Source organism: Homo sapiens, chromosome 2, assembly GCF_000001405.40.
Source record: "Homo sapiens chromosome 2, GRCh38.p14 Primary Assembly".
NCBI classification, from domain to species: Eukaryota; Metazoa; Chordata; class Mammalia; order Primates; family Hominidae; genus Homo; species Homo sapiens.
The window spans coordinates 13,534,202-13,553,985 of NC_000002.12; the positions used below are offsets into that span (position 1 = coordinate 13,534,202).

General features: G+C 35.9%; 1 long non-coding RNA gene across 5 annotated transcripts in view, besides 1 other annotated feature; it reads left to right on the plus strand.

The window, feature by feature from the left end:
• The first annotated feature begins 3,712 nt into the window (after window positions 1–3,712).
• LOC105373438 (uncharacterized) overlaps window positions 3,713–19,784 on the plus strand; it is a 220,483-nt gene continuing 204,411 nt past the window's right edge. For all 5 annotated transcript variants that reach the window (NR_188380.1, NR_188384.1, NR_188383.1 and 2 more), the window contains exon 1: window positions 3,713–3,812. This is a non-coding gene — a long non-coding RNA (uncharacterized LOC105373438). The remainder of the gene's footprint in view (window positions 3,813–19,784) is intronic.
• Window positions 4,944–5,445: an enhancer, noted in NCBI's record as "NANOG hESC enhancer chr2:13679270-13679771 (GRCh37/hg19 assembly coordinates)". NCBI's record gives its function as "activates a minimal SCP1, AML or CMV promoter by ChIP-STARR-seq in primed H9 embryonic stem cells {active_cell/tissue: H9 hESC(primed)}" and the evidence as "EXISTENCE:reporter gene assay evidence [ECO:0000049][PMID:30033119]".

The following is a 19,784-nucleotide window of genomic DNA, read 5'->3' on the forward strand; positions in this document are numbered from 1 at the left end:
ACTTCAAATGTCAGTACTATAAAAATGAAAAGGCAAACCACAGGCTGAGAGAAAAATATGTGAAATATATATCTGACAAAGGCTTTATATCTACAATATATAAAGAACTCTTACAACTAAATAATAAAACAATCTTTTTTTAATGGCCAAAAATATTTGCAGTCACACCAAAAATAATTAGTACATGATATATGATTCTTTATATAAAACTTTAAAAGCTGCAAACAAATCAATACTTAAAGTAGGTTAGAAGTTTTCTGGTAATAACAAGATGGAATAATGAGGATGAGCTGCAAAGGGACATGAAGAAACTATTGGGCATCATGTATATGTTCATTATGATAATTTTGGTATTGATATTCCAGGTGTAAATAGATCACAGCTCTCATAAAACTGTATACTTTGGTATGTGTACTTTATTTTATATGTATATATAAAATATATATTTAATAGATGTTATATCTAAATTATTTTGGTCAAATTGCAGAAAATTAAAAAATATATTTATCTGACACATAATATATCCTATGTGTTGAAGATATAAAAGCAAGTTAATTAAATATAAGCTTTCCCTCAAAAGGTTGTATCTATAATAGCATACTACCTAGCCCGGTAATAAGCACACTGAAAAGACTACCTGTTTTTGAAAGTCTGACCCATAAAGTGAGTGGTGAAACAAGGAAGCAAGCAAAGGAAGAAATAATAATAAATAAATAAATTTAGTTTTGCTTAGTTCTCATTTAAACTTTACCAACATGTACATTGTTCTTCAAAAATACAGAAAGTGATTTATACGAAAATTATATTGTGAATCCTAGGGCAACCACAAAGCCAGGGTAAAACAAAAGAAAGCAAACTAACCAAACAGAAGACAGTAATAAAGAAAGTGATTTTAAAAAGTATAAATGAAAGCTAATAATTGGGTAAAATATACTCAATCCAAATGCAGGCAGAGTGCAAAGTGGTCAAAGGACATTTGAAGCAAACAGAAAACAGGTAGCAAAATAGAGGTTTTAGTCCAAAAATAATAATAAATGAGTAATTCTTTAATCATCTAATTATATGCAGAACATAAACCTTGACACACACACACACACAGCATATATAAAAATTAGCTCAAATTGATCATACACCTAAATGCATTACCTAAATCTATAAATTTTCCAGAGTAATATCTAGAAGAAATTTTTTAACCTTGGTTTAGGCAAAAAAATTCTTAGAAATCACACACATAAACACACACACACACACACAAACACACACAAATAAGAATTGACAAATTTGACTTTAACACATTAAAAACTTCTGCTATTCAAAAAATTCAGTCTTAAGAAAATAAAAAGATGAGTGATGCACTGGGGAAAATATTTAAAAACTATAACCAATAAATGATATGTATATGGAATGTATAAATAATATTCAAAACTCAACAATAAAAAAGGGCAAAACTTTGAAGAGCATCTCTCTATATATACATATATATGTAAATTTTATATAGAAAATAAGTATATAAATACATGCTTAACATCAGTCTTTCATAAAATGTAAATTAAAATCACAAAGCGATGCTACTGCCCATCTGTTTGAATAGTGTATTTGTTTCCTAAGGCTGCCATAACAAATGGCCTCACATGGGATGGATTAAAACAACAGAAATGTATTATTTCAGAGTTCTGGAGGCCAAGAGTGCAAACTCCCCTCTGCAGGCTTTCAGGTAGAATCCATGTCATGTCACCTTCTGACTTCAGGTGGTTTTGGCAATTCTTGGTGTCCTTGGCTTGTAAATGCATTAGTGCCATCTCTGCCTCCATCTACACAGGGTCACTCTCCCTGTGTGTCTCTGTCGACTACCCCTTATTTTCGTGTATTAGGGCTTGTCAGATTTTAGTACCCAACCTATTCCAAATTGAACTCATCTTGAGAATCTTATGTTAATTTCATCTGCACCCTGATTCCAAATAAGTTCTAATTCTGAAGTCTTGGGGACATGTGGCTTTGGGGGATTGTAACTGAACCCACTACATAGTTAAAATAAGTGTTGTGTTTTCTTGTGCGTGTGACACAATTGGGTCCTGATGATGATAGAGACAAACTGTATTGTTTATGCATCATTCATGAACATGGGACATGTTACAGTCACTTCAGAAAATAATTTATTATGATGTTAAACATATAGTTAACATTTGCACTAGCAATGCCACTTTTAAGGTATTTATCTGAAAAAAATAAAAATTTGTATATACACAAAATCTGTTATTTGAAATTTCACAATAAGGCTTTGTTCCTAATTACTCCAAACTGAAAATAAACTAAATGTTTTTAGACTGGTAATATACCACATAGTGCATCACACAACAGAATACTTCTCAACGATAAAAAAAACTAGTGGTATATGTAACACATAGAAAAATCTCAAACACATAGTGCTAAATGAAGGAAGCTAGGCTCAGAAAACCACACATTGGATGATTCCACATACATGAATTTTTGGAAAAGGCAGAACTAAAGAAAATGAAAATATCTCAGTGGTTATTAAGTTGCCAGACACATGGTGTGAGGGTAAGTGTTAACTACAAAAGGACATGGGGGAAAAAAAGGGCATGGGAGAATCTTTGGGAGTGATGCATATCTTGATAATGGGGTTATATATCCTCAATAAATCTGATAAAAATATTGAAGGCATGGTCTCATTGAATTTGATCACTATGCCAATTGAATTAAATAGGAATTTATAGCTTTGTCTCTAATATCTTAAGAATAAATATTCATATATGTTACTTAAATTCAGGATTTTAAAAATTACAAATCCCACAGGCTTACAATGATTTCACGCTGCTCCTAAAGTGCAATATAGGGTAAGTGACACACTGGAAGTTAGACACACAAGGGCAAGAATAACTATTCATCCAAGGCCAAGGTCTCGGTAAATAAATAAAAGAAAAAGTCACATTGTGCCTCAACAGTCTGAATCACGGGAGGTATTCATTGGAGAGAAAATAAGGAAGCAAACATCATCAGGTGCTCTTCATCTGAATAGAAGAATATCAGTACGATGTTCTGATTATATAAAGTTGTTTGTTTCCCCTTACACTCACAAAAACATTTTTATTTTGCGCTGCACATGTTAACCCTGACGCCATTCCTCATACCCCCATTAAATAAATGGACTTTGGATTCCAAACTCAGTCCAAATGGCTACAGAGTGAACAATTTAGTCACCACGGCTGTTGAACATTATAAAGAGATAGCCCCTTCGATCTCCTTCTAATCTAAAAAATTCATTCCAAGCGTAGTTTTCATATAACTGGAGGACAGTTGTTTGAGGAGGGGAGGAGGATTGGAAACAGTTTGTTTTCTCTTCCCTCGTTCCTCTCAGTGGATTCAGTGGATAAAGAGCAGGCACACATTACAATAAACATTTTTATGGTCCCCAACATTAGGCATATAAATCCTACCTGTCTTCACACACTTACACACTAAAACTCCCACAGAAAGGGGGAAAATTAGAAAAGGGGTGATATAATTTGACTCTGTGTCACCACCCAAATCTCATCTTGAATTGTAATCCCCGTAATTTCTCACCTGGCAAGAGTGGGACCAGGTGGAGACAATTGGATCATGGGGGCAGTTTTCCCCATGCTCTTCTCGTGATAATGATTGAGTCTCATGGGATCTGATGATTCTATAAGTGTCTGGCTTTTCTCCTACTTGCACTCACTCCATCCTGCCACCCTGCGAGGAAGGTGCCTGCTTCTTCTTTGCCTTCCGCCGTGAGTGTGAGTCTCCTGAGGCCTCCCCAGCAATGTGGAACTGTGAGTCAATTAATACTTCTTTCCTTTATAAATTACCCAGTTTCGGGTATTTCTTCATAGCAGTGTGAGAACGAACTAATACAAGGGGCCACTGGCCATGCTTGGTCCAGGTCCCGTGGACCTCTCTTTCGCACTGGTGTGCCTTCTTATCTAGTAAGCTAAAATATGCATTGAGCAAACAGGATCAGAGGCAAAGCCACATGTGCAGGCAAGAAATATTTCCTTGGCATGCTCTTTAAAACACACCCTGCCTACAAAACATAGATTATCTTTTCTCTGCCTTTGTTCCCACATGGAAATTTCAACTGGACTGAGCTCCACTGCCCTGCAAATGTCCAGCCCATTTCAGATGGAAAATCATCAGAATCCTGATGTTGGATTCTAGTGTATAACAATATCTTTCAATACAGCTTCATCTGCAACAGTTTTCTGTTGGACATAAATATCTTCCTCAATCTATTCTGACATTTGAGAAGGAAAATTATCACCCTTAAAGCTCATTTAAGTGAATATGTATCAAAACGAAAGCAAGAGCACATTTCTTAAAGAAAAATTATAAGCCATACTCCACTTAGCTTATTTTCTTTCCTAACAGCATGGAGCTTTGAGTAAAACTTATCTGAGTGGCTAAGACAATCTTGGAATAGGTGGATAATGTAGCTATTTCATTTGTATTCGAGTAAAAATGAGACAGATGATTACCGAGAAAAAAGGTCAATGTAAGAGTACTTTAGTCAGTTTAACCAAATCCATAAAATCATCGATTCATGAAATCATGAATCATTTTATAGTATTATACTTTTGATAGGCAGATGCAGTTTAGTAGGTAAGAGTCAGAAAGAGTGAACTTTAGAACCTATTGGCCTTTCTCAATCCTCCATACATCTAGTGCTTTTATTCTCCCACAACATGTAATGCCTAAACATTCCAGAATGCAGAAAGTCACCCGTTACAAGACCTGTTAGTGTGTTCAGTAAGATGGCCAATCTCATTCTTAATTTCCCCATTTGTGAGAGGGGAAATATAATTTAAAAAAATCACAGTGTTGTATTAAATATGATAATATAAAATACCACAATCATGTGTATAGGTAACTATACAAGTTGGTACTTAATAAAGTATGTCTTCTAAAAAGTAGTAAGACTATTCGAATTCCATTGTTTTCATTGGCCTAATTTAGTGAATGTCTGGGAATTCATCTTGATACCTCTGGGTGCCTGCTGTGCCAACCATCCTTCTTTTACCTTTAGTTTCTAAAAAGATCTAGCCCTCAAGCAAAAGAAGGTCTATGCTATGATAAGCCTTCGGATGCTACATTTGTAAGATCCGTTTAAAGAGTGCATGAAACAGCTCTCTACCCTTAAAAGAATAGAATTTATACAGCTGCCTGCATTTAATGGATCCACAAGGCAGGCTGAAGTGGAGCCTGCTGAGAGCAGGCTGATGAGGGATCATTGGTGATTTAGTGCTCAGCAGGTACATGCCAACCACTGCAATCTGTTTCTGCTCAGATCTAGCTCATTAACCTCTTATTGTCCCAAAGGGAAGGGAAGACATTGTGAGAAATAATTGAAAGGAGAGTGGACTCAAAGGAAAATGGAATTGCTGTTGGACAATAAGGAGCAAGGGAAGGAAATTGTGAATGGATATAAACAGAAAAAAAATAGAGACCAAGAGATGACTTAGTGGGTGTGTATTCAGTCTATATACTCTGCCTCTGTTGTTCACTACATGGGTGGCCTTAGAATATCATGTAAACTATGTGAGCCTCAGTTTCCCCTTATATAAAAGTGGAAATAGGACTGATCCTGTCTGGATGATAAGTTGGTTATGTGAAACTCTAGACACAATTTCTAGAACTGCAGATATGTGTCATGCGTATGTCAGAGGATGTCAATGAGAATTAAGGAAAGCTTCTTGACGGAGTGAAGACGGTTTAATAAAAAGAATATGAGCTTTGGAGTAAGAGAGATCTGGACTTGATTCACATTCATAAAATGATGTAATATCTATGTAGCAGGGTTGTTGTAAGCATTAGCGCTGATACATGTAGACCACCTATTACTATGCATAGGACAGTCTTATTTTAATCATATTACCTCTTACTGAAAATTGTAAAACATAAAAGTCTTTTAAAAGACAAAATCAAACCTTCTATTTTTCCTGGCACTTTGAAAGGTTTTAGAAGACATTCGCTTCCATTCCTTCACATCCATCTGTCCGTTATGTATCTCCCAACATTCTTACATGATACATATGCAAAGAAATAGCATGGTTTACATATAAAGCAATTAATGTCTAAGAGGCAAATTAATGAATATCTAGTAGCAGGGCAAAAATTGAAAGTCAAGTGTATCTCACTGCAAAGCCTACTCTCTTTTCACCTATACAGGTTTCCCATTCTGCTTTTGTGTGAATGAGAAATAAAAGCCATTTCTTTTTTGTTAACAAACCACCCCAAAATACCACTTTGTATCAGAAAAATGACATGCCTAATTGTCTGGAACTCTTATATGCAAAGGCTGTGGCAACTATTCCTTAATCTTCTGAAAAAAGTGGATGTATGAAGAGTAGTTTCTAATAAATGACAGGAAGTATAAATGTAACTGAGAAGAAGTGATAGATTCTAGGAAAACTTTTGAAAGTCTTATGGAAGGAGGGCCTTGACAGGTGAGAGTTCAGTCATAGCCTTATGGTGGAGACACATATACGGCTAAAAAGCAAAGCAATCTCTGAGAACTGAACATTTATTAATTAATAGGGGTCTCAATCTTGTCCATCAGAATCACCTTTGAAGCTTTTTCAAAATGCTTTAGCTCAGGGTGAACCTTTGCTTTTTGGCAAGTAGAAACTGCTCATCATTCTAACAAAGGGACCCAGGCTCTCCATGCCTTCATTTGGAGACCACTGCCGCAGTCCAAGAGGCAGAGAAGACAGACAGAGAGAATGTGGCCCAACATGCACTGGCTCCAAAATCCCTGGGATAAAAAATAACAATGACAACAACAAACACCAAAAAACTGTCCATCAGCCAAAGGCAGTCACAGGGCCAAGTTCAACTTCACAAGGCAGTTTAGTTTGTTCAATTCTTGGCTTCACAGGAAGCAGTTTCAAATATTTGTGAACAATATTCCACATGATCACAGCTAATATGTAACCATATTATTTCCGATATTATTCCACTTTTCCTAGGGCTGCTTATTTTTTTCCATGGAAAAGACAATGGAATTCTGAAGGAAAAGGAGTGACTTTGAATAGAAAATGAATAATTTCTTTTGTAGTTATACAATTGCGTTGAGTAACTTTACAGAGAAAACAGGTGATAACTTTTATGGTTTCCTGTGATTCTTAATTAACGTCAGCCTTAGAGTTAAAGCCATAATGAAAAGACATGAATTCGTTTTTGCAGGCAATAAGCATTTTGTTGGCAAATAGTATTCCTGAATCAGTATTTTCCTCAGAATATAGACTTGTTTCTGCTAATAATGTTTCTATTTAATGGACAGAAGATGACAACTAAACAAGAAAGTCCAATTATTTTTGTAATGAATTTTAATATCTATTGGCACATACTTTTTGTTTTGTTTTGTTCTGAGGGATTAGAAACTGAGTGAGTGACCTTTAAGTTGCGGATAACCTTTTTTATTCTCAGTGTCATGGAAAATGAAAAATTTTTAAGCAAGCATAGCTTACAATGTAGTTTTGAACAATGGATTAATAAACACAGGATCATCTCCAGGAGGTAATACTGTTACCTGGCACATACCACAATAAGGGAAAAGACCTAGGAGCTGACACAAATTCTCTCAAGCCTCTGTAATGTACTTGAAAATAACACTGGGGCTTATTGAGCAAATTGGAGAACTAATCAATCAAAAAGCAGACTCACCAATAGAAACTTAAACATGGAAAGGTTAGAATGTAGGTAGATACTGCCTGTTAAATTTTCAGTTCAGCACAGTATGGTATTGTTCCCAGCAATAAAAAGTGTGTAATATACGGGCAAAGCTGAATATTCGAGACCAGCCTGACCAACATGGTGAAACCCCATCTCTACTAAAAATACAAAAAAAAAAAAAAAACATTAGCCAGGCATGGTGGCAGGTGCCTGTAATCCCAGCTACTTGGGAGGCTGAAGCAGGAAAATTGCTTGATCTCTGGAGGCAGAGGTTGCAGTGAGCCAAGACGGCGCCGTTGCACTCCACCCTGGGCAACAAGAATGAAACTCTGTCTCAAAAAAGAAAAAGAAAATGCTGAATGTGGAAATGACTTCCTGCCTTACGTCTACCACCAGCATTCACTTGATTCAAGCAAATCTCTACCCATTTCTGGACCTTGTTCGCTTAACTCTAAACTGACTCTCACATTTTGTCCAGCTCTGAGATCAATGAATCTGAAAATGCCGAGGAAGGTATATCTTCAAGTTTTCACCAAGATAAGAAATGCAGACAGTTGGAATATCTTACTGTATTAGTTTGTTTTCTGTTGCTTATAACAGAAAACCTTCAACAGAGTAATTTATAAAGAAAATAAATCTATTTCTTATAGTTATGAAGGCTGGGAAATCCATGGTTAACAGTATGTATCTGGTGAGAGCCTACTTGCTAGTGAGGACTTTGCAGCATTCAGAGGTTCAGAGGTGGTACAAGGTATCACATGGTGAGCGTACTGAGCATACTCACGTGCATGCCCAGAGCTCTCTTCTGAAAAAGCCACCAGTTTCACTCCCACGATAATCCATTAATCCACGAATAGATTAATGCATCCATGAGGGCTCTCTGTCATGATTCAGTCACCTCTTAAAGGCACTACCTTTCAACAGTGCCACACTGAGGATTAAATTCTCAACATAGGAAATATGGAGAAGACATTCAAATAATAGCACTTACATATACATGTCAAATTTCTCCTCGCTAAATGGCACTTTTCTAGAGCACTTGTTTGCAGGCAAAATAGGGAAGGCTACAGGCAAGGTTATAGCACAGTGAGAGTCTAGCCCAATTATATTTTCAAAAGAATGGCAAGTTAGGTTCATGGTACCCCTGCATGGACTCCACGGGAGATGGGGATACTGTGTAGAGTTATATGGGCCACCATTTATTGACATAGTCTGGATAAAATTGATGTGTAATACACACACACACACACACAAATGAGTAGTACATGAAAGAGTAGTTTCAATCAAAGCAGAACATGGTTAAATATGTTAAATATTGTATCAGTTCTGTAGTGAAGAGGAATTGGAAAATTATGTATTTTGTATCTTTTAGTTTATATATATCATGTATGTTTTTATATTTAAATGTATATTTTAGTCTTTTGTTCATAATCTCATTCAGATATTTTAATTCTTGGGTGTATGGAAAGTGAATTGAGACATAATTGGCAGCATACATCAAGATCCTAGAGATCCAGTTAATAGAGCATTCACTAATAAATAATTTTTAAAAATTCCTTTTAGTCTGAATAAGCCACTTATTATACCAGTGCTTCTAAACTAGGGGCAGTTTTATCCTCCAGGGACCATGTGGCAATATCTAGAGGGAGTTCTTTTTTTTTTCACTTTTCCTCAAAATTCAACTTCATGGAGAGGGTTTTGTTGTCACTTCCGGGAGTGTGCTATTGGCACCTGGCTGGTGGAGGCCAGAGATGTTGCTAAATATCCTGGATTACTCAGGGCAGCCCCCACAACAAAGAATTATATGTCCTAAAGTGACACTACTACTGCTGTTGAGAAACCTGCATTGTGGTTTCACACATGTCTTTTTAGTTTCCTTCCAATACCATATGAGACCAAGAGTGGGGACTATATCCCTTGCTTTGCAGATTGGCAAATTGATTAGCAGACAAGTTTCTGTATTTATTCAAAGTCATACAACTAGGTAGTGGCAGATCCAGTGGCTTTTGTCTAGTAAGTTGGGCATCTCTCAGGACATCACCAAATATATTCATTCAAAAATAGGTTGCAAATGCTACTGAGCAGTGCATAGACATTGCTTATATATATGTATATATTATATGTATATATTTGTATATATTATATGTATATATAGTTCCATGACTGGGGAGGCTTAGAAGTCCCACAATCTACAATCAGCAAGCTAGAGACCCAAAAAAGCTGGTGGTATGAATTCCAGTCCTGATATAATGGCCTGATAACCAGTAGAGTGGCTCATAAAGTTCCAGTTTGAAGCCAGAATCATGTCCCTGCTTAAGCAGTCAGGTGGTGTATTAGTTTGTTTTCACATTGCTGTAATGATACTACCTGAGACTGGGTAACTTATAAATAAAAGAGGCTTAATTGACTTACAGTTCCACATGGCTGAGTAGGCCTCAGGAAACTTACCATCACGGTGAAAGGCAAAAGGGAAGCAAGCACCTTCTTCAGAAGGCAGCAGGAGAGATAGAGCGGTGGGGGTGATATGGTTAGGCTTTGTGTCCCCATCCAAGTCTTATCTTGAATTGTAATTTCCATAATCCATGTGTCCAGGGAGGGACCGGGTGAGAGGTGAATGGATTATGGGAGAAGTTTCCCCCTTGCTGAGATCTGATGGTTTTTTAAGGGGCTCTTTCCCCTTCACTCATGTGCTCTCTCTCACCTGCCACCATAAAAGATGTGCCTTTGCTTCTCTCTTGCCTTCTGCCATGATTTGTAAGTTTCCTGAGGCTTCCCCCACCATGTAGACCTGTGAGTCAATTAAACCTCTTTCCTTTAAAAATTATCCAGTCTCAGGCATGTCTTTGTAGCAATGTGAGAACAGAATAATACAGGGAAGAACGGCCAAACACTTTTAAACTGTCAGATCTTGTGAGATCTCACTCACTGTCATGAGAACAATATGGGGGAAACCAACCCCTATGATCCAATCACCTCCCACCAGTTCCCTCCCATGACACATGGGGATTACAATTCTAGGTGAAATTCAGGTGGGGATACAGAGCCAAATCATATCAGGTGGAGAGAATGAACTCCATTTCCCTGTCTCTTGTTCTATTCAGGCCCTAAATGGATAATTTCCACCCACATTATTTTACCAACTTAAATGCTAATCTCTTCCAGAAATATCCTCACAGACACATCCAGTAATAATGTTTAACCAAATATCTGGATACCCGATGGCCCAGTCAAGTTGACATATAGCATTAAACATTCACTGCTCGTAGGTATTTCAATGGAATCACAGAAGACTCACATGAAATTAGAAAACTGTAGAAAGAGCATTAGATTGATATTCAAAATATTAAAAATGTATCTGTTAATGTGGCATGGTCCAGCATAAGATCAACTGGCAGAGACTGACCATGCTGTCTCAGTAGATCTCTATCATCAGAGATGATAATTTCTGAACTCGAGACTTGGGCTCACACCCATGGTTATGTAGCTGGAGTGGAATCATAATTATGGACACATGTTCTGCTGATGATTTCACTGGTTAAGGTGCAGACATTCTGGAACTCAAGATAGATCTATGTTGGAGATAATATAGCTTAACCACTAAATATGACACTGAGGTCAGGGCAGGTTTCTGTGACTCACTCATGACCCAATGTGACAGTGACAGAAAGATCGTTATTCCTCACAGTTTAGGAGCCACAGAGGTCTAGGAATGTCACCTGTAGTCAATTCCTGCAATTGTCATGAGAATGCATAAGCAGTGGAGCTAGGAGGAATCTGTAGTCTATTCAAACCTATTGTGCTAAGACTGCCAGAATTCTGCATGAAAATTTTTAGTTTACTCTAGATCACAACAAGGTGACAACTACAAAGAATTTTAGCTGTGGAGATAAATTCCAGAGACCAATATTTGCAGAATCTACTTCAAGGTATCCTATTTTCTGATAATCCTCAAGTGGCCCTATTTGAGTTACAAGGAATAAGTTCTAGATAAATGTACATAAAATGGTGGTGTTTAAAAAATTGGACCCTCAGTTTGACAAGTGAGGGCTTGAAGTCATAGTATGAATATAGAAAGACATAGGACCTTATACTGTATTCACAGAATGGTGAGGCCAAGATTTTTAGATTATACTCAGAAACTCAGCTTAGAATGCATTTCTTATGAAACCGTTTATCCACCATTAGTGTTCTTTTGAAATCTAATTGTAGACTTTAATGTCAATGGAAATGAAAAAAATCACAGTCACTCTAACATGGAACGATAAGATGGAGTAATAAAAAGAGGAAACAATCATGCCAAGAGAGTTTCAGTGGTGAGTTCTACCAAACATTTAAGAAAGAAATGATAACAATTAAGTGCAAACTCTTCCAAAAAATAGAAGCAGAAGGAATATTTTAAAATAAAATATACAAGGTCAGCATTACTTTAATATCAAAACCAGTCAAAGATATTACAAGAAAGTAAAAGTCCAGGCCAGTATATCTCATGAACTTAACCCTCAACAAAATATCAGAGAACAGAATTAAACAATGTATTTAAAAAGACATTACACCCAAATGGGTTTTATGCTACACATGCAAGGCTTGTTCAACATTCAAAAAACAATTAAGATTATACACTGTTTTAACAGGCTAAAGAAGAAGAATCATGATCATATCAACAGATGCAGAAAGAACACTTGACAAAATTCAACACTTATTCAAGACAAACATTTTCAGTAAAGTAGGAATAGAGGGAAACTTCCTTATCTTGATAAAGCACATCTACAAAAATGTACAGTTAACATTATTCTTAATGGTGAGAAACTGGATGCTTTTTCTCTAAAGTCAGGAACAAGTCAAGGATGTCCTATCTTATCACTCTTACTAAACATCATAGTGGAAATTCTAGCTAATGAAAAACAAGGAAAGGAAATTAAAAAATAATTGGGATATTTATTCTAAAGTAACATGCTTTTCTATGTAGAAAATCTCAAAGAATCAACAAAGAACTGTCACTAACAAGTGATTATGGCATGACTGCAGAACACAAAATTAATAGTTAAATTCAATTGCTTTCCTATATATAAACAATGAACAATTAGAATTTGAAATAAAAAACACACAACCATTTACATGAACACCAAAATTTTGAAAACTTAGGTATGGATTGAAAGTATAAGATCTGTATGAGGAAGATTACAAAGCTCTGATGAAAAAAAATTACAGAAATAAATACGGAAATATTTTGTGTTCATGGATAGGGAAATGTATTCTTTATCTTAATTGCTGATTAGTACTAAGTACAATTAAGATCAGTAAACATCTTGTGTACTATTAAGATGTCAGTTTTCTTCCAACTTGATCTATAGTTTCAATGCACTACAAATCAAACCACTAGCAAATTAGTTTGTGGATATCAACAAATTGATTCTAAAAGTATAGGAAAGGCAAAATGCCCAGAATAGCCATTTTGATATTGAGAACAAGAACCAAGTCAGAGGACTGAATTATGTTACTTTAGCACTTACTATGAAACTACAATAATTAAGGCAATTTGTACTAGTAAAAGAATACACAAGTAGATTAACAGAACAAAATAGCCCAGAAATAGACCAACACAAATACAATTAACTGACTGTAACAAAGGCAAAAAAAAATTCAATGGAGAAAAAAAAATCTTTTCAGCAAATAGTGCTAGAACAAGTAGACAACTAGACATCCATATCCTCTGCAGAAAATCTATATACACACATCTTGCACTTTTCACAAAAGTTAACCCCAAATGGATCATAGGCCCAAATGTAAAATGCAAAACCATAAACTTTCAAGGAAATAGCATGAGAAAATCTAGGTGACTTTGAGTTTAGTGTTGACTTTTTGGATACAACACCAAAAATACAATCCATGACTGAATAAATTGATAAGTAGGGCTTTATTAAATTAAAAAATGATCATTCTGCAAAAGACATTGTTAAGGAAATAAAAAGGCTACCCACAACTGGGAGAAAATACTTGCAAAACAAATAGCTGATAAAGGACTTGTTTCCAAAATATAAAAGGAACTCTTAAACATCAAAAATAAAATCAAAAAGCTTAATTTAAAAATGGGCAAATGATCTGAACAGGCATTTCACCAAAGAAGATATGCAAAAGGAAAATAAACATATGGAAAGATGCTGAACATCATATGTCATTCAGGAATTTCAAATGAAAACAACAATAAAATACTACACATCTATTAGAATGGCTAAAATCTAAAACACAACACCAAATGTTGATAAGAATATGGAGCAACCAGGGCAGTTAATTGCTGCTGGGAATGAAAAATATACAACCACTTTGGAAGACAGTTTAGCAGTTCCTTACAAAGCTAAACATACTCATGCCATAAAATTCAGCATTCACATTCCTAGGTATTTAAGTAAGTTGAAAATGTCCGTATAAAAACCTTATGTCCTTATAAAAGCCTGAACACAGATGTTTATAGCAGCTTTATTTATAATTGGTAAAAACTGGAAGCAACCAAGATATCTTTCAATATGTGGATGGATAAACAAACTGTGGTACATGCATACGATGGAATTTTTTTTGGTGATAAAAAGAAATGAGCTGGTCAGGCGTGGTGGCTCATGCCTGTAATCCCAGCTCTTTGGGAGGTCGAGGCAGGTGGATCACCTGAGGTCAGGAGTTCAAGACCAGCCCAGCAAAGATAGTGAAACCCCGTCTCTACCAAAAATACAAAAATGAGCCAGGTGTGGTGGCAGACACCTGTAATCCCAGCTACTCAGGAGGCTGAGGCAGAGAACTGCTTGAACCTGAAAGGCTGAGGTTGCAGTGAGCCAAGACAGCGCCAGTGCACTACAGCCTAGGTGACAGAGTAAGACTCCATCTAAAAAAAAAAAAAAAAAAAGCAACAAAGACATGAAAACCATGAAAAACTTTCAGTGCATATTAGTAACAAACAGATCTCACTGCTAGGAACTTTCTCTCTGTGGAAACGAGCAAGCCTAAAAGTCACTACAGGATGTCCTGGTTAAGTAAAAGAAGCCAGCCTAAGATGGCTAAAAGGACTACATACCGTATGATTTTATCTCTGTGACAATCTGGTAAAGGCAAAGTTGTGGACACAGCGAAATGTTCAGTGGTTGGTAGGGGTTTGGGGGAAGGGAGGGAGAAATGAACAGATGGAAAATAGGGGATTTGTGGAATAACAAAACTATTTTGGTATGGTACTGTAATAGTAGGTACATGGCATCATGTATCTGTCAAAACCAATAGAACTGTAAAAAACACAGAATAAACCCTAGTGTGAACTGTAGTCTCTAGTTAATAATTATATATCAATATTTGTCCACCAATTCTAACAAATGTGCCAAAGAAGATGCTAATAATAGGGAAATTGTGGCTGGGATGAGAGAGAAAAGATAGTATATGAGAACCCTCTGTACTTTTTACTTAATTTTCCCATAAACTTAAAACTACTTTAATAAAGCCTATCAGTAAAAAAAAAAAAAAAAAAAAAAAAAAAAAAAAAAAAAGCTTTAAACACAAAAAACATCAGAGATTAGAATTTATTCACTATAATCATAAGGTCACAAAATAAATATTGCATGTTAAATGTAAGAATTCTGTTTCTAGATGTTCATCGGGTAAAGGAAAGGTCTTTTAAAAATATGTGTTATGTCTGCATCCTGACAAGTGTGTGGCACTAGAGACCCCAAATAATTTAGCTACATGCTCTAGAAGCAGTTCTAGCTGAATGTGTCCATATTATTTCCTTGCTATTGCAAACGAGGATTTCTCCATGGGCGTTGTGAGTCTCTTCTATCCTTGTTCAAATACATAGGGATTAAAATTTTAGACTCATCCAAAATCCACTCTCTAGAACACAGGTGAACACATCAGGCTATTCTAATTCCACTCCGTCCACTTCAATCACATCTGAACAATTTGTTTCCTGTCAAACGAGAATGTAGCTCGTATTTGGTTATTTTTATCTTCCTCCATACTGCTTCTGAAAACATCCCTTATTCCCTACCATTGTACTTACTTTTCTCACTTTTTATTGTGAAATATTATCAAACATGGGGTATTGTATTTTATTCTAGAAACTAGAAAATAGCCAGATTTCAATTTGCTGAGCTGCAAATAACTCACTTTAAGACTTTGATCAGAGAACTCTGTCCTCCTCAGTGTGCCCAGCTATATGATAAGGGTTGGGGGAATATTAATTCTGCAGCACTGTATGTATTCTGTGATAATTATCACTGTCATGTTTTTAAATGTAAATAGTAGCAATAATAATTATGATAAAGAAGCAAAAAAAAGAAGAATGGCTGACATGCAATGTGTGTCTCCCACATACTATGGGACACACAAATTGTTTTGTAAACCATGCCAGGCTTATTCTGTATACTCTCAACTATCGCTCATAGCCAGTCATTAGCCCCTCTTATATGGAATGCATTACAAGGTTTTAAAATTTCTTTCAACATAGCACTTACGTATTTTGAGACTAGAGCCAAAGTGGAAACAAAGAATAAACAAGCCTTCTGTCTTCTAGGTTGTATGCTGTTCCTCATCCTTTTAGAAAAACTTCTATGAGTTTCTGATAAATAAACTTCTTAATTAGTTTCATTTTCGGGAAAAAAATTAAGTCAGAAGAAAAACCCCAGCATCTATTTTGAACAAACCAAGAAGTATTTGCATATTTGTCAAAATAATACTCATTGATTTGAAACAACAACAAAACTGATTATTTCCTTCAGTTTTAACTATATAAATTCTTCCAGGTACAGCCATTTTGATCATTTCAATAACAAACATCTTAAGTGCTTATACAGTAATAGGCACAGTCACCGACAGCTGCTGAAGAGGTTTCAAACCTCTTTGGGCAGATTCAAGCACTTGCTGCTTAGAGAGGAAAATGGAAATGGATTATCCATTGTGCAGAGAAGAAGGTATTATTTCATTCTCAGTGTCCCCTGGAGTCCTCAGCATATTACTCTATAAGCACTTCATACATAATAACATGTGAGTTATACAGAGCAGTGATGTCACAAAAATAAATATAAGCTGTAAAGGATCACTGTGGTTGACCAAATTATTTTCGCAATTCCTCACTCCCTTGACACAGGGTAAGAATTCACATGCTTGCTATAGTTCAATTGTGGGCAGAGTATGCTTTCTACGTCCTTAATCTTGATCTTGGCTGGGTGACTTGTTTTGGCCAATGTGATGTTGTAGTGCATATGATGAGAGCAGAGGCTTGACATTTGCTTATACTTTTGGACTTTCACTGTAGGGCTCCAGTGACCAGTTATGGGAAGAACTTTCTCCAGATAGTTGTGACTACTTTCATCTAGGACCCAAAGTGAATACAAATTAAGTTAGCATAACCCAACCCAGAGCTAGGATCTCAGAGTAGTGGAAGCCTCAACTTGTAGCAGAGGATAACAGCTCAGACTGCATTGGGAAATCCAGTTAAACTGCTAGACGCTAAGCATAAAAATACATTTTTTTATTTTGCCACCAAGATTGTGTGTTTCTTTGTCATGCAGCAGAGGCTGACTATTACAGTCCAGTATTCTAATGAAGGCAGCATATAAAAATAACTACAAAGCTATGCATTTAGTAATACAGTTAACATAGTTACAATGTACTAGAGTAGCATGGAGAAATAAGTGATTATTTACAGAAGAACAAAGAAAAGTTTTCCAAATAGTTATCAATAGAGATGAGCTCACCAGCAAAATGGGAGAAAAAAAGAAATTTCAGGAATTTTACAAATACACTAGCAGAGAGTACACAGAGAAATAATCTAAGAGAAAAATTAGTTATAATTTTAATGTATTACCTTCTTTATCTTCCATGCCTACCATGCATGACTGTAATGAATTTATATGTACAAGCCTGTGTCTTTACTTAGAAAAATGTTTTCATAAATACTCTTCACTCATCAATATTACTATTTTAAATATATACTTTAATTTTCGGCCTGTGAATACGGTATCATTTGTGCAACAATTTCCTCATAGATGATTTTAATATTGTTTCCAGTCCATCTCTATTACAAATAAGACGATGATTATTACTAGCATACATCTTTTGATTTATCTTTGGAAATGTAAATATTAAAACAATCCAATTTAAAAACAGGCAAAGGACCTGAATAGACATTTTACAAAAGAGGACACGATGGCCAATAGGGATATGAAAAAAAATCTCAACATCACTAACCATTAGGGAAATGTAAATTAAAACCACAATGAAACATCGTCTGGCTCCTGTTAGAATGGCTATCATCAAAAAGACAAAAGATAACAAATGTTGGTGAGGATGTGGAGAAAAGGGACCCCTTGCACACTGTTGATGAGAATGTAAATTGGTATAGCTATTATGGAAAACAATATGGAGGTTCCTCAAAATATTAAAAATAGAATTACCAAATGATCCAGCAATCCAACCATTGTGTATCTATCAAAGAAAATGATATCAGTATGTGAAAGAGATATCTTCATTCCCATGTTTGTTACAGCACTATTCACCATAGCCAAGCTATAAAATCAATCTATGTCCCCATCAATAGATAAAGAAAATGCAAATATGCACAATGGAATACTATTCAGTCATAAAACGATATCCTATCATTTGCAGCAATATGGATGGAAATGGCGATCATTCTGTTGAGTCAAATAAAGCACAGAAAGACAAATACTGTCTGTTTTCACTCATATCTAAAAAGGTTGATCTCATAGACATAGAGTAGAATGGTGGTTAGCAGAGTTTGGGTTGGTTGAGGGGAGAGGATATCTTAGTCAAAGGAGACAAAATTACAGTTAGATAACAGGAATAAGTTTGAAAGACATATCATACAGCACAGCAACTACAGTTAATAAAAATACATTATATTCTTGAAAAATGCTTTACAAAATTCTAAAAGAGTGGATTTTAAATATTCTCACTACAAAAATGATGACCATGTATGGTAGTGCATATTTTAATTAGCTAGAATTAACTATTCCACGACATATATGCAAGCACACCTCAGAGATATTGCAGGGTTAGTTCCTAAAGCAAATAAAGCGAACACCAAAATAAATCAAGTTGCATAAATTGTTTGGTTCCCCAGTACATATGAAAGTTATTTTATACTATATTGTAGCCTGCTGAGTGTGAAATAGCATTAGGTATTAAAAAATATATGTGCTTTCACTGAAATGTACATTATTGCCAAAAACGTGCTAATGATTATCTGAGCCTTTAGCAACCTGTAATCTTTTTGCTGGTGGAGGGCCTTGTCTTGATGTTGTCGGCTGTTGGCTAATCAGGGTGGTGGTTGCGGGAAGGCTGGTGTGGCTGGGACAGTTTCTTAAAATAAGACAACAATAAAGTTTGCTCCATGAATTTGACTCGTCTTCCATGAAAGATTTATATGTGGCATACTAGGCTGTTTGAGAACATTTTACACAAAGTAGAGCTTCTTTAAAAATCGAAGTCAATTCTCTCAAACTCTGCCACTGCTAAACTTATGTAATATTCTAAATCCTTTTGTTTTTGCTTTGAGGAAAGGTTTTGTTCTGTCACCCAGGCGGAAGTGCAGTGCTGTGAGCAAAGCTCACTGCAGCCTTGAATTCCCTGGCTCAAGTGATCCTTCCACCTCACCCTCCTGAGTAGCTGGGACTACAGGCCTGTGTTACCATGCTTGACTAATTTTTTAATTTTTTGTAGAGACCGGCCTCCCTTTGTTGCTCATGCTGGTTTCAAACTCCTGAGCTCAAGTGATCCTTCTGCCTTGGCCTCCAAAAGTGTTGGGATTACAGGAGTGAGCCACAACACCTGGCCTTCTATATCTTTTATTGTCATTCAAACAGTGTTCACAGCATCTTCAGCAGTAGATTCTAGTCCAAGAAACCATTCTCTTTGCTCATGCATAAGAAAAAACTCCTTATACTATCCATTGAAGTTTTATCATGAAATTGCAGCAATTCAGTCTTCTCAGGCTCTACCTCTAATTCTAATTTTCTTGCTATTACTACATCTGAAGTTACTTCCCCCACTGAAGTTTTAAACCCCTCAAATTCATTCAGTAG